A 15,303-nucleotide genomic window follows, 5' to 3' on the forward strand; every position below is an offset into this window, starting at 1 on the left:
GAAGGTTCTGGCATGGGTCGTGGCAGTCTTTCATTCTAGCCCACGTCCCCATCATCCTCAGTGACTGCAGTGCCCATTTGAATAATCGGCATAAAACTCTAGTCTCAAGCTTCCTTCACCTCCAGCTCTGAGTCTTCACCTCCTTTCTCCTTGCTCCACCTGTTCCAATGGTACACCTAAGCCTTGCCATTGCTAGGACTACAGATCCGTATCAGAAATACATTCTTGGCTGGGTGCAGAGGCTTGCACCTGTGATCCTAGCACTTTGGGAGGTCGAGGCATTGGGATGCTTGAGCTCAGGAGGTTGAGACACTGTCTCTACAAAAAAATACATAAATTGGCCAAGACTGGTGGCTCACACCTGTAATCCCAGCACTTTGGGAGGCCGAGGAGGGCGGATCACCTGAGGTCGGGAGTTCAAGACCAGCCTGACTGACATGGAGAAACCCTGTCTCTACTAAAAATACAAAATTAGCCAAGCATGCCTGTAATCCCAGCTACTCGGGAGTCTGAGACAGGAGAATCGCTTGAACTCGGGAGGTGGAGGTTGCAACGAGCCGACATCATGCCATTGCACTCCAGTCTGGGCAACAAGAGCAAAACCCCATCTCAAAAAAAAAAAAAAAAAAATACAAAAATTAGCGGGGCATGGTGGCATGAGCCCGTAGTCCCAGCTACTTGGGAGGCTGAGGCAGGAGGTTGGCTTGAACCCAGGAGGTGAAGGTTGCTGTGAGTTGGGATCGCGCCACTGCACGAGCCAGTTTTGAGCCAGACCCTGTCTCCAAACAACAACAACAACCAAAAAAAAGAAAAAAAGAAAAAACCTCTCAAACTCCACCTTCTCATTTTTCAGTTCCTTCAGGCTACCACCACCTCCACAACCACGCTGAATAGAAGTGGTGAGAGTGGGCATCTTTCCTCATTCCTAATTTCAAAGGGAAAAATGTTCACATTTCTATCTATTTTCTTTTTCTTTTTTTTTTTTTTGAGACGGAGATGCACTCTGTCGCCCAGGCTGGAGTGCATTGGGTGATCTCGACTCACTGCAACCTCTGCCCCCCAGGTTCAGGCGATTTTCCTGCCTCGGCCTCCCCAGTAGCTGAGATTACTGACGCCCACCACCACGCCTAGCTAATTTTTGTATTTTTCATAGAGACGGGGTTTTGCCATGTTGGCCAGGCTAGTCTCGAACTCCTGGCCTCAGGTGATCCAACCACCTTGGCCTCCCAAAGTACTGGGATTACAGGCGTGAGCCACCATGCCCAGCCATTATTATTATTATAGTTACTATTATTGGAGACACAGTTTCGCTCTTGTCACCCAGGCTGGAGGCAATGGTGTAATCTCGGCTCACTGCAACCTCTCCCTCCTGTGTTCAAGCGATCCTCCTGCCTCAAAATCCTGAGTAGCTGGGATTACAGGCATGCTTCACCATGCCCGGCTAATTTTCTTTTCTTTTTTTTTTTGAGGCGGAGATGCACTCTGTCGCCCAGCCTGGAATGCAGTGGCGCCATCTCAGCTCACTGCAAGCTCCGCCTCTCGGGTTCACGCCATTCTCCTGCCTCAGCCTCCCGAGTAGCTGGGACTACAGGCGCCCGCCACCACGCCCGGCTAATTTTTTGTATTTTTAGTAGAGACAGGGTTTGACCATATTAGCCAGGATGGTCTCTATTTCCTGAACTCGTGATCCACCTGCCTCGGCCTCCCAAAGTGCTGGGATTACAGGCGTGAGCCATCATGCCCGGCGAAGTCAGGCTAATTTTTGTATTATTAGTAGAGATGGAGTTTCACCATGTTAGCCAGGCTGGTCTCAAACTCCTGACCTCACGTGATCCACTGACATCAGCCTCCCAAAGTGCTGGGATTACAGGCATGAGCCACTGTGCCTGGTTATAGTTCTTTTTTTCTTTTTTTAGACTGAGTTTCTCTCTGTCACCCAGGCTGGAGTGCAGTGGCACGATCTCAGCTCACTACAACCTCCGCCTCCCAGGTTCAAGCAATTCTTATATTTCAAGCGATTCCCAGCTTCCCGAGTAGCTGGGATTACAGGCGCCCATGACCATGCCCAGCTAATTTTGGTATTTTTAGTAGAGACAGCGTTTCGCCATGTTGGCCAGGCTGGTCTCGAGCTCCTGACCTCAGGTGATCCACCTGCCTCGGCCTCCCAAAGTGCTGGGATTACAGGCGTGAGCCACTGAGCCTGGCCCATATTTCTCTATTCAGTATATTTGCAGAGGTCAATTTTATTAAATATTTTAATGCATCTATTGAGATGGTAACATAATTTTCTCCTTTATTTTGCTAATGTGCTGAATTACATTTTTTTAGTAAACCAATTTAACATTCATAGCATACACGTAAATTGGTCACGCTGCATTAGTTTTCTTATACATTTGTAGAACTGGTTTGCAATATGTTATTTGGCATTTCTGCATCTATGTTTATGAATGATATTGGCCTGTAATTAAATTTTTTTTAAGTAATATCCTTGACAGGTTTTGCTACAAAGTTATGATAGCCTCATAAAATGTACTTTGTTTCACTTCTCTGGGAGAGTTTGTTTGAGATTGGTTTTAGTTCTTCCTTACACGTTGATAAAATTTATAGAAAAAGCCATCTGGTCTTAGAGTTTTCTTTGGGGGAAGGTTTTATATTACGGATTTAACCTCTTTTATAGTTATAAAATAATTCAGGTTTTCTGTGTCTTTTTGTGTCCATTTTGTTTTTAGTAAAAATTTTCAATCTTTACATAAAGTCATTTAAAGTGTATACCTATTTTTTTTTTTGAATATCTGCAAGATCTGTAGTGATGTCTCTTTTTTCATTCCAAACATATTTTTTTGGTTCCTCTTCTCCTTTTTTCTTGAGCAGTTTCATCAGAGATTTATCAATTTAATTTTTTTTTTTTTGAGATGGAGTCTTGCTCTGTCACCCAAGCTGGAGTGCAGTGGTGCGATCTCAGCTCTCTGCAAACTATGCTTCCTGGGTTCAAGGGATTCTCCTGCCTCACCCTCCTGAGTAGCTGGGATTACAAGTGCACGCCACAACACCTGTGTGCCACCACACCTGGCTAATTTTTGTATTTTTATTTATTTATTTATTTTTGAGATGGAGTCTTGCTCTGTCGCTCAGGCTGGAGTGCACTGGCGCAATCTCGGCTCACTGCAACCTCCGACTCCCGGGTTCAAGCGATTCTCCTGCCTCAGCCTCCTGAGTAGCTGGGATTACCAGCGCGTGCCACCATGCGCAGCTAATTTTTTTGTATTTTTAGTAGAGACAGGGTTTTACCATGTTGGTCAGGCTGGTTTTGAACTCTTGACCTCGTGATCTGCCCGCTTCAGGCTCCCAAAGTGTTGGGATTACAAGCATGAGCCACCGCACCCAGCCTAGTATTTTTTTTAAAAGAACCAATTTTTGGCCAGGTGCAGTGGCTCACACCTGCAATCCCAGCACTTTGGGAGGCCAAGGTGGGAAGATCACTTGAACCCAGGAGTTTGAGACCAGCCTGGGCAACACAGTGAGACTTCTTCTCTACAAAAAATAGAAAAATTAGCTTAACATGGTGATGCGAGCCTGTAACTCCAGCTTCTTGGCAGGCTAAGATGGGAAGATCAGTTGAGCCTGGGAACCTGGGATGTTGAGTCGGCCATGAGCTGTGATTGTGCCACCTCACTCCAGCCTAGGTAACACAGTGAAACACTATCTCAGAAAAAAAAGAACCAATTTTTTGCTTTACTGATTTTCTCTATTTTCTGTCTGTTTTTATATATAATTATATATATATATATAATCATCAATATATGCTTTTATTGACTGGGCGTGGTGACTCATGCCTCTAATCCCAGCACTTTGGGAAGCCGAGGCGGGTGGATCACCTGAGGTCAGGAGTTCAAGACCAGCCTGGCCAACATGGAGACACCTTGTCTCTACTAAAAATACAAAAATTAGCCAGGTGTGGTGGTGGGCACCTGTAATCCCAGCTACTTGGGAGGCTGAGGCAGAAGAATCGCTTGAAACTGGGAGGTGGAGGTTGCAGTGAGTGGAGACAGGGCCACTGCACTCCAGCCTGAACAACAGAGTGAGACTCCACCTCAAAAAAAAAAAAAAAAATATATATATATGCTTTTATGTATATTGTTATTATTATAGAGATAGAGTCTCGCTCTGTCATGCAGGCTGAAGTGCTGTGGCACAATCATGGCTCATTTCAGCCTCAACCCGCCGGGCTGAATCGATTCTCCTTTCTCAGCCTCTCGAGTAGCAGGGACCACAGGTGCCACACCTGGCTAATTTTTTTATTTTTGGTAGGGACAGGGTTTCCCTATGTTGCCAAAGCTAGTCTCAAATTCCTGGGCTCAAGCTGTCCTCCCACCTCAGCCTCCCAAAGTGTTGGAATTACAGACATGAGCCACCATACCTGGCCATTAGCTATATTATTTTCTTCCTTCTACTTTCATTTAGTGTTTTCTGCTACTCCTGTTCTAACTTTTGAGATAGATGCTTAACTCATTAACTTTCAGTCTTTCTTCTTTATTAATATAGCATTTTCTTTTTTTATTTTTAAGCCAGTCAAATTTTAATATAGTACTTTAGGCTATAGATTCTTCCCCTAAATAATGCTTTAGCCTACATCTCACCAGCTTTATATGTAATATTTTAATTGTCATTCAGTTTAAAATATTTTATGATTTCAGCCGGGTGGTGGCTCACGCCTGTAATCCCAGCACTTTGGGAGGCCGAGTCGGGGGGAATCACTTGAGGCCAGGAGATCGAGACCATCCTGGCCAACATGATGAAACCCCGCCTCTACTAAAAATACAAAACTTAGCCGGGCATGGTGGCGGGCGCCTGTAGTCCCAGCTACTCAGGAGGCTGAGGCAGGAGAATCGCCTGAACCTGGGGAAGGCGGAGGTTGCAGTCAGCCGAAATTGTGCCACTGCACTCCAGCCTGGCGACAGAGTGAGACTCCGTCTCAAAAAAATTAAAAAAAAGAGTCATTTGTCTCCTGGAAGAGCTCAGGAAATGTTAGAATCTCTCCTTTGCTTCTCTCCCTCTTGCTGTGCTGTTCCTATTACATTGTAATTATTTGTTTACATGTCTGTTCCACCTTCCCAAGTGAGTTATGTGAGGGAAGGCTTCATGTCACGTCATCTGGTATCCTCAGAAGATAGCAACGTGCCTGGCACATAGTGGGTGAATAAATGGACTCTAGTCCTGTTTCATAAATAGTAATTGAATGAATCTGAAAAAAATCAATCTCTATAGGCAAAAACTCAATGCCATATATCTATGGAATTTTTGCTTTAATTATGGTTAATGATGCTTTAACTGATCCTTGATTGGCCCAAATGATTAGAAAACAGTCATAAACAGTGGCTCATGGCTGTAATCCCAGCACTCTGGGTGGCTGAAAGAGGTGGATCACTTGAGGTCAGGAGTTTGAGGCCAGCCTGGCCAACGTGGTGAAACCCTGTATCTACTAAAAATGCAAAAATTAGCCAGGTGTGGAGGTGGGCACCTGTAATTCTAGGTACTCGGGAGGCTGAGGCAGAATTGCTTGAACCCAGGAGGCAGAGGTTGCAGTGAGCCAAGATCGTGCCACTGTACTCCAGCCTGGGTGACAACACGATACCCTGTCTCAAAAAGGAAAAGACGAAAGAAAGAAAGGGAAAGAAAGAAGAAGAAAGAAAGAAAATATTCATAGAGGTAAGCCTGAGCTTACCCTTAGCAAAACTGCGAAGCTGGTGACATCTGTCTTTGTTTTTTGTTTTTGTTTTTTTGGTTTTTTTTTTTTTTTTTTTTGAGAGGGAGTCTCACTCTGTCACCCAGGGTGGAGTGCAGGGGGGAGATCTTGGCAACCTCCACCTCCCGGGTTCAACCAATTCTCCTGCCTCAGCCTCCTGAGTAGCTGGGAATACAGGCATCCGCCACCACACCTGGCTAGTTTTTTAATTTTTAGTAGACACAGGGTTTCACCAGGTTGACCAGGTTGGTCTCGAACTCCTCACCTCAGGTGACTCGCCACCTTTGGCCTCCCAAAGTGTTGGGATTACAGGCATGAGCCACCATGCCCAGCCGTCTGTCTTTGTTTTTGAACCTGCCTGGCGGCATCCTACTCTTGCTTTCTGTGGCCGTCACTAATCCAGGTACCTTTTCCATCCTCAGCTTGCCCTCAAGGCTGGAAAACACAACATGTGGATTCAGCTTTAAGGCTGAAGAGCATCCAACACTCTGGTCAGTCATGTGTCCTGGATGGAGATGGGAGCTCTGAATGCTTCTTTCCTTAATTTAGCAAAATAAGAGGACAGAAAGAAATATTTATCAGGATTACAACCGCCACTATTTATTGAGTCAGACACTGTTAATCATTTACGTGCATTGTTGCATTTTTGCACTCTTGACAACATTTCTATGAGAGAGATACTACGTTGTTCCCATTGCTGAGGTTAGGAAGTAAAGGCTGACTAGATATGCCCACAGTTCGGCATCTAACAAATGGCAAAGCTGGAATTCAAACTTACCTTCTCTGGTTTAAAGTGGGTGCTTTTTTTTTTTTTTTTTTTTTTTTGAGACAGAGTCTTGCTCTGTCACCTAGACTGGAGTGCAATGGCACAATCTCGGCTCACTGCAACCTCCGCCTCCTGGGTTCAAGTGATTCTCCTGCCTCAGCCTCCCGAGTAGCTGATGGGTCCGGAATTGGTGGGTTCTTGGTCTCACTGACTTCAAGAATGAAGCCGCCAACCCTCGCGGTGGGTGTTACAGTTCTTAAAGGCGGCGTAACCGGAATTTGTTCCTTCTGATGTTCAGATGTGTTCCGAATTTCTTCCTTCTGGTGGGTTTGTGGTCTCACTGGCTCAGGAGTGAAGCTGCAGACCTTCGCAGTGAGTGTTACAGCTCATACAGACAGTGTGAACCCAAAGAGTGAGCAGCAGCAGGATTTTTTGCAAAGAGTGAAAGAACAAAGTTTCCACGGTGTGGAAACTGACCCGAGCGGGTTGCCACTGCTGGCTCGGGCAGCCTGCTTTTAGTCTCTTATCTGGCCCCACCCACATCCTGCTGATTGGTAGAGCCCAGTGGTCTGTTTTGACAGGGCGCTGATTGGTGCGTTTACAATCCTTGAGCCAGATACAAAGGTTCTCCACCTTCCCACCAGATTAGCTGGATACAGAGTTAAGACACACAGGTTCTCCAAGGCCCCACCAGAGTAGCTACATACAGAGTGTCGACTGGTGCATTCACAAACCCTGAGCTAGACATAGGGTGCTGATTGGTGTGTTTACAATCCCTGGGCTAGACATAAAGGTTCTCCACGTCCCCACCAGACTCAGGAGCCCAGCGGCTTCACCCCGTGGATCCCGCACCGGGGCTGCAGGTGGAGCTGCCCGCCAGTCCTGCGCCGCGCGCCCGCGCTCCTCAGCCCTTGGGTGGTCGATGGGACTGGGCGCCGTGGAGCAGGGGGCGGTGCTCATCGAGGAGGCTCCGGCCGCACGGGAGCCCATGGAGGGGGTGGGAGGCTCAGGCACGGCGGGCTGCAGGTCCCGAGGCCTGCCCCGCGGGAAGGCAGCTAAGGCCCGGTGAGAAATCGAGCGCAGCGCCGGTGGGCTGGCACTGCTAGGGGACCCAGTACACCCTCCGCAGCCGCTGACCCGGGTGCTAAGCCCCTCATAAGCCGGCCGGCTGCGCCGCCAAGCCCACACCCACCCGGAACTCCAGCTGGCCCGCAAGCGCTGGGCGCAGCCCCGGTTCCCACTTGCGCCTCTCCCTCCACACCTTCCTGCAAGCTGAGGGAACCGGCTCCGGCCTTGGCCAGCCCAGAAAGGGGCTCCCACAGTGCAGCGGTGGGCTGAAGGGCTCCTCAAGTTCCACCAAAGTGGGAGCCCAGACAGAGGAGGCGCCGAGAGCGAGCGAGGGCTGTGAGGACTGCCAGCACGCTGTCACCTCTCACTGAGACTACAGGCGCACGCCACCACGCCCCGCTAATTTTTGTATTCTTAGTAGAGACAAGGTTTCACTATGTTGGCCTGGCTGGTCTTGAACTCCCGACCTCAGGTGATCCGCCTGCCTTGGCCTCCCAAAGTGCTGGGATTACAGGCGTGAGCCACCGCACCCCACTAAAGCAGGTGCTTTTAACCACTATTCCAAATTCCCAAATGTACAGACCACGGCATTGTCTGAACTGGAAGGCATGGTCAAAACTTTAGTCTGAATTATTAAAATCTTATTGAAGAATTTAATAACTGAGGAAAATAAGCAGAGAAAATATTTCTGGACAAAGGGACCAATTTGTTGCTTCTAAAATTATATCGCATGATATTTTGTTTACTAATATTTGAATTTGGCAATTGTGAGGCTAAGAAAATGGAAATGGGGCTGGGAGCTGTGGCTCATGCCTGTAATCCCAGCACTTTGGGAGGCAGAGGTGAGCAGACCACAAGTTCAGGAGTTCGAGACCAGCCTGGCCAACATAGTGAAACCCCGTCTCTACTAAAAATGCAAAAATTACCCGAGCATGGTGGCGTGCACTTGTAGTACCAGCTACTCAGGAGGCAGAAGCAGGACAATCGCTTGAACCCGGGAGGCAGAAGTTGTAGTGAGCTGAGATCATGCCACGGCACTCCAGCCTGGGCAACAGAGTGAGACTCTGTCTCAAAAAACAAACAAACAAACAAAGAAAATGGAAATGGTTAAGTTAGGGGAGCTGTAGACCAAGTCAGTACTCCAGTGATCAGACGAAGTAGCCCTCCTCAGTTTTTTTTTTTTTTTTTTTTTGAGATGGAGTCTCACTCTGTTGCCTAGGCTGGAATGCAGTGGCATGATCTCAGCTCACTGCAACCTCTGCCTCCCGGGTTCAAGTGATTCTCCTGCCTCAGCTTCCCAAGTAGCTGGGATTACAGGTGCCCGCCACCACGCCCAGCTAATTTTTGTGTTTTTAGTAGAGATGGGGTTTCACCATGCTGGCCAGGCTGTTCTCGAACTCCTGAGCTCAGACAATCTGCCCGCCTCGGCCTCCCAAAGTGCTGGGATTACAGGCATGAGCCACCGCGCCCGGCTCACCATGTTGGTTTCTAAGATTTCCTGTTTGTCTCTTGTTCCTTGTGTAAGAGTAGGTACTATCATAAATCCTGCCCTTAGGGCAAACGACCTTGAGGTCATCATACTTCAGTTCCTGCATAGCCCTTCTGAACCACCCCTCCCCTATGCTACATAAGCCCGGAGTAGGGGAGTGGCAGCCTGCGGATCCACCACCTCCATTAGCTTTTGTTTATAAGTCTCCATTAGGTGATTCCGGCTAAGAAACAGGATTTGTCAGCCTCTTTCTTTGGCCTCTCAGCTTCCTGGGACTCTGGGGCAGGTTTGGATAGTCCTGCCAACCGCAGAACACTCATCAAGGTGGGAGTGGAAACTGCTGCAGAGAAGAATCCCATTTGTGTTTGTGCTCTTACCCAGGGCTGGGATGTGAGGCCCCTCCTCAGTTTTTAACAGGACAAGGCCAGAAATGTATCAAGAATCATTCATTCTTCTGCAGCAAAACAAACCTCCCACTGCTCCCTGGAGAACAAGACAGTTTCAGAAGGGAAAAGATAAGAGTTCTTCTGAGCTTTCAAAGAACTTAATAGGGAGGCAAAAAAGAAAACAAACAAACAGAAAAACAATGCTTTCATAAAGTGAAGGAAAAAAATCTCTGGCTAATCTGATTGTTAAAGTGATTGTACCGAAATAAAAAATCTCTCAAACAGGCCGGGCACGGTGGCTCACGCCTGTAATCCCAGCACCTTGGGAGGCCGAGGCGGGTGGATCACGAGGTCAGGAGATCGAGACCATCCTGGCTAATACGGTGAAACCCCGTCTCCATTAAAAATACAAAAAATTACCCGGGCGTGTTGGTGGGCGCCTGTAGTCCGTTGTAGTCCCAGCTACTCGTGAGGCTGAGACAGAAGAATGGCGTGAACCCGGGAGACGGAGCTTGCAGTGAACTGAGATCGTGCCACTGCACTCCAGCCTGGGCGACAGAGCGAGACTCCGTCTCGAACAACAGCAAAAAATCCCTCAAACATTTGATCATTCCTACTCTTGGAACTAATAATATTAAATATATATTTGTAACATGATTGTTCATATTTTAATTATAGGTTAACAATGGTGCGTTCATACGGTGTTTGCTTGCTTGAAGAAGTTGCTTTATAATTAATATAGTATTAGCATATAATTTGAAACAACTGGCTGGGTGCGGTGGCTCACGCCTGTCATCCCAGAACTTTGGGAGGCCGAGGCGGACAGATCACCTGAGGTCAGGAGTTCGAGACCACCTGGTCAACATGGTGAAACCCCGTCTCCACTAAAAATACGAAAATTAGCCGGGTGTGGAGGTGCATGCCTGTAGTCCCAGCTCCTCGGGAGGCTGGGCAACAAGAGCGAAACTCCATCTCAAAAACAAAACAAAACAAAACAAAATTTTAAAAAAAGCATGAAAGATGTAATTTTTTAAATAAATAAAATTAAAAATAATTGCCTGTTGCTCAGGCTGGAGTGCAGTGGTGCAATCTCCACTCACTGCAACCTTCGCCTCTATGGCAAGAACTTCGGAAGGGCACAAGTCATATTGCATAATGAGCGTGACAAGCCTCAGCTTGTTTATGCCAATATTTCTGACACTCACTTGACCATGGAGGTTTCTGTGAAGGCCACAGCCAGGTACCCAGTAGGCCATTAGTGAGCATCTGTGGTGAACAAATGAACCTTGCAGGCCACACACTGGGAGATGCTGCTGTAAGGCAGAGGATGGTCTACGATAATATTACATACAAAATGCAGGAGATACTCTTTTGAATAGGTGGCGTCTTACTACTCCTTCAAGCCACATACAAGGTTAGCATCCCCACCAAGTCAGCCCTACTTTGTATAGGCTCAGTTTCACTGAATGGAAACTCCTTGAGGGAAGGGATTAATGAATGCTTACTGGATGAATAAATTAACAAACGAATATCAGAATTGCTTGAACCTGGGAGGTGGAGGTTGCAGTGAGCCAAGATCACTCCAGCCTGGGGGACAAGAGCGAGACTTTGTCTGAAAAAAACAAAAAAAAAGTAAAAAAAAAAGTAAGCATGTTGGGCAGTAGGGAGTGGGAACTGAAATGAAAAGCTATGTGTGCTCATATTGGCCAACATCTTAAGTAGAATTAGAATAGTACGGTTCCACCAAAGCTGTCTTCTCAGACACTTGATTTAAGGTAGTCTCTTCCTTGAGATGGCATCCATTTCAGGACAGAATTAGAATATTAGAGGAACTAAAGTTAATTATTAAAGCCTTAAAAAGTATGGGGCTGGGGCTCACCCTAACCAGTGGCATGGTCTTTATTTTTTTATTTAATTAATTAATTTATTTTTTTGAGACAGAGTCTTGCCCTGTTCCCCAGGAGATGGAGTGCAGTGACACGATCTCCGTTCACTGCAACCTCCGCCTCCCGGGTTCAAGAGATTCTCCTGCCTCAGCCTCCTGGGTAGCTGGGATTACAGGCACGCACCACCACGCCCGGCTAATTTTTGCATTTTTTTTAGTAGAGACAAGGTTTCGCCATGTTGGCCAGGTTAGTCTCGAACTCCTGACCTCAGGTGATTCACCCGCCTTGGCCTCCCAAAGTGCTGGGATTACAGGCGTGAACCACCACACCCAGCCTATTTTTTTATTTTTTATGTTGGCCAGACTGGTCTCAAACTCCTGACCTCAGGGAATCCACCTGCCTTGGCCTCCCAAAGTGTTGGGATTACAGGCGTGAGCCACCACACCGGGCTGGCATGGTCTTTATTAACAATGAGGACAGGTGGGGCATGGTGGCTCGGCCTGTAATCCCAGCACTTTGGGAGGACAAGGTGGGCGGATTGCATGAGACTAGGAGTTTGAGACCAACTTGAGCAACATGGTGAAACCCCATCTCTACAAAAAAAACAAAAAAAACAAAAATTATCCAGGCGTGGTGGCGTGCACCTGTAGTTCTAGCTACTTGGGAGGCTGAGGTGAGAGGATCTTGAGCCCAAGAAGTCGAAGTTGCAGTGAACAGAGATCGTGCCACTGCACTCCAGCCTGGATGACAGAGCGAGACCCTGTCTCAAAAAATGTATATATAACAACGACGCTGTTATTTCTGTATGGGAGATGTCTCTGTCCCCAGTCTGCTAGAAGAGAACTGGCCAAAATATATTAATTGAATGAAATAGGAATTACGGGAATTTGGAAATGGAGCTGAAGAAAATGCAGCCAGTGCTAATCCAAGGCTAAGTATTCTCCACGGGGAAGATGACTACGTGGGGGTGTGAGTTCCACGAAGACAGAGCAGCCGAGGAGGAAGGAAGGACCAAGGCCAGGCCTGGATGCCACTGCAGGGAGGGTGGCCTTTTCATTTTCTGTGAGTGTTTCTCATTAGTCAAAAAATGTGCCTGGGTTTGTATCCTCTTGTTTACCAGATGAAGGGTTGCCCTGGGGGGCCTCTGGGCTCTGGGCTACAGTAATGATTGCGGTGAAGAGGATGACAATTTACATTTCTATGGTTCTCCCTAGAGGACTCAGCCTGGGGAGGAGTGTTCTGACTACATTTTAGTGTTAGACGATCAGATTAAAATGAAGGTCAGAGAATCTCACAGAATGCGAAAGGGAAGACCGGCTGGAGAAGTGGGTGGGGAGGATGTTAGGGTGGATTGTTTCTAACCCTCTCTTCCCTCACTGACTCTTTTGCAGGTCAGCACTCCGCCCACCAACTGCCTAGTTCTCTGCTCACTGCAACCTCCGCCTCCCGGGTTCAAGCAATTCTCCTGCCTCAGCCTCCCAAGTAGCTGTGACTACAGGCGCCCGCCGCCATGCCCGGCTAATTTTTTTTTTTTTTTTTTTTTGTATTGTAGTAGAGGCAGGGTTTCACCGTGTTGTCCGGCTAATTTTTGTGTGTGTGTGTGTGTGTGTGTTGTAGTAGAGGCAGGGTTTCACCGTGTTGCCCAGGCTGGTCTCAAACTCTTGAGCCCAGGCAATCCGCTTGCCACCGCCTCTCAAAGTCCTGGGATTACAGGCGTGAGCCACCGCGCCTGGCCTTGGCTTCTTAGTTTGTGGTCATGTTTTTTTCAGGCAAACGCTGAAGTCGTGGCACTTCAACATCAGTGGGAAGGGAGCGCTTTGTAACAACAGGGAGGAAAACTGACTTGTAAATACAAGAGCTCAGGAACCCCATGCGGCCACATTTAAATACCAGCGGGAGAAGTAGGGGTGTTCCCTTCTGCTTGGACCTCCGCTGCCTCAGCTGGAGAGTCTGTTTGTCCAGCGGACAGAAGAGGGAGAAGTACACAGAGCTGATACAGCTTCTGATCGCGCAAATGAAGAGCCATAAATATCTTAGCCGGGCGTGGTGGCGCGGGCCCGTACTCCCAGCTCCTGCGGAGGCTGAGGCACAAGAATCGCTTGAACCCAGGAGGCGGAGGTTGCAGTGAGCTCAGATTGCGCCACTGCACTCCAGCCTGGGTGATAGAGCGAGACTGTCTAAAAAAAAAAAAAAAAAAAAAAAAAAGAAGAAGAAGAAGAGCCAGAAATATCAACATAGAAGGAATTTAGAACAAAGCAAGTCACAAAAACTATAGCAGTCATCTAACCCAGCCTTCCACGGGGTGCAGCTCTCTCTGCTGCCTGTGCAACCCACGCTTGAAGGCCTTTATTCGGGAGGAATTTAGGAGCTACCTCCCAGGCAGCTCGAGTATGTGATAAAAAGTTCCTTCTTAGATTAGGCCAAAATTTACTTCCTGGTAACTTTTACCCTTTGGAGTAATAACAGCGAATCCATTCCTTTTTCCTTCTACACCATTGCCTTCCTACTAGTTGAAGACAGTCCCTAGTCCCTGTAAACACTCTCTTCTCAGAGGCAGGGAAGCCAGAGGCAGGAAACAGTGGCTCCTGAGTCGGGGCACTCCCTCCCAGCATCCCAACAGGACAAGCATCCTGGCCTCTACGTCCTGAGGTCGCGTTGCTGGCCAAAGTCTTTAGGATACGCAAATATAAAACAAATGGTGATAATAACATTTGGACAAAATAGTATCGTTTCTTCTCTATTCTTGTCAAACCTCTCAAGTAAAGGTTATATTGTGAAAAATTCTAAACAACGAAGGCAAGGCAAAGATTTGCAAAGTACATGGTAAAGGTATACTCTCCTTAATGAAGTGGTGTTCAAAAGTTGTTTTAAGACTTTTTTTTTTTACAGGTGCAGTGGCTCACACCTGTAATCCCAGTACTTCGGGAGGCTGAGATGGAAGGATCACTTGAGCCTGGATGTTCAAGGCTGCAATGAGCTGTGGCTGCACTGCTGCACTCCAGCCTGGGAGACAGAATGAGACTCTGTCTTGAATAATAATAATAATAATAATAATAATTGTTTTAAGATTTTTTATTTTTTGAGACGGAGTTTCACTCTTGTTGCCCAGGCTGCAGTGCAATGGCACGATCTCAGCTCACCGCAACCTCCACCTCCTGGATTCAAGTGATTCTCCTGCCTCAGCCTCCCGAGTAGCTAGGATTAGAGATATGTGCCTCCACGCCTGGCTAATTTTGTATTTTTAGTAGAGACGAGCTTTCTCCATGTTGGTCAGGCTGGTCTCGGACTCCCGACCTCAGGTGATCCACTCGCCTCGGCCTCCCAAAATGCTGGGATTACAGGCGTGAGCCACCGTGCCTGGCCTAAGATTTTTTTTTTTTTGAGACAGAGTCTTGCTCTGTTGCCCAGGCTGGACTGCAGTGGCATGATCTCGGCTCACTGCAACCTCCGCCTCCCGGGTTCAAGCGATTCTCCTGCCTCAGCCTCCTGAGTAGCTGGGATTACAGGCGCATGCCATCACGCCGGCTAATTTTTTGTATTTTTAGTAGAGACGGGGTTTCACCTGTTGGCTAGGCTGGTCTCGAACTCCTGACCTCATGATCCGCCCTCCTCGGCCTCTCAAAGTGCTGGGATTACAGGCATGAGCCACTGCATCTGGCCAATATTTTTTTTTTAAGAGCAGTTTTAGGTTCACAGCAAAATTGACAGGAAGCACCAGAGATTTCCCATATATCCCTGTCCCCACACACTCACAGTCTCTCCCATTGTCAACCAGAGAGTGACACATTTCTTACGATTTTTTTTTTTTTTTGAGACGGAGTCTTGCTCTGTCGCCCAGGCTGGAGTACAGAGGTGCCATCTCGACTCACTGCAAGCTCCGCCTCCCAGGTTCACGCCATTCTCCTGCCTCAGCCTCCCGAGTAGCTGGGACTACAGGTGCCTGCCACCACGCCCGGCTAATTTTT

General features: G+C 47.6%; 2 annotated features.

Moving 5' to 3' along the window:
* Window positions 6,950-7,460: an enhancer, noted in NCBI's record as "H3K27ac-H3K4me1 hESC enhancer chr7:152235514-152236024 (GRCh37/hg19 assembly coordinates)". NCBI's record gives its function as "activates a minimal SCP1, AML or CMV promoter by ChIP-STARR-seq in naive H9 embryonic stem cells {active_cell/tissue: H9 hESC(naive)}" and the evidence as "EXISTENCE:reporter gene assay evidence [ECO:0000049][PMID:30033119]".
* Window positions 12,852-13,643: an enhancer, noted in NCBI's record as "NANOG-H3K27ac-H3K4me1 hESC enhancer chr7:152241416-152242207 (GRCh37/hg19 assembly coordinates)". NCBI's record gives its function as "activates a minimal SCP1, AML or CMV promoter by ChIP-STARR-seq in primed H9 embryonic stem cells {active_cell/tissue: H9 hESC(primed)}" and the evidence as "EXISTENCE:reporter gene assay evidence [ECO:0000049][PMID:30033119]".

This window comes from Homo sapiens, chromosome 7 (assembly GCF_000001405.40).
Source record: "Homo sapiens chromosome 7, GRCh38.p14 Primary Assembly".
NCBI lineage: Eukaryota > Metazoa > Chordata > Mammalia > Primates > Hominidae > Homo > Homo sapiens.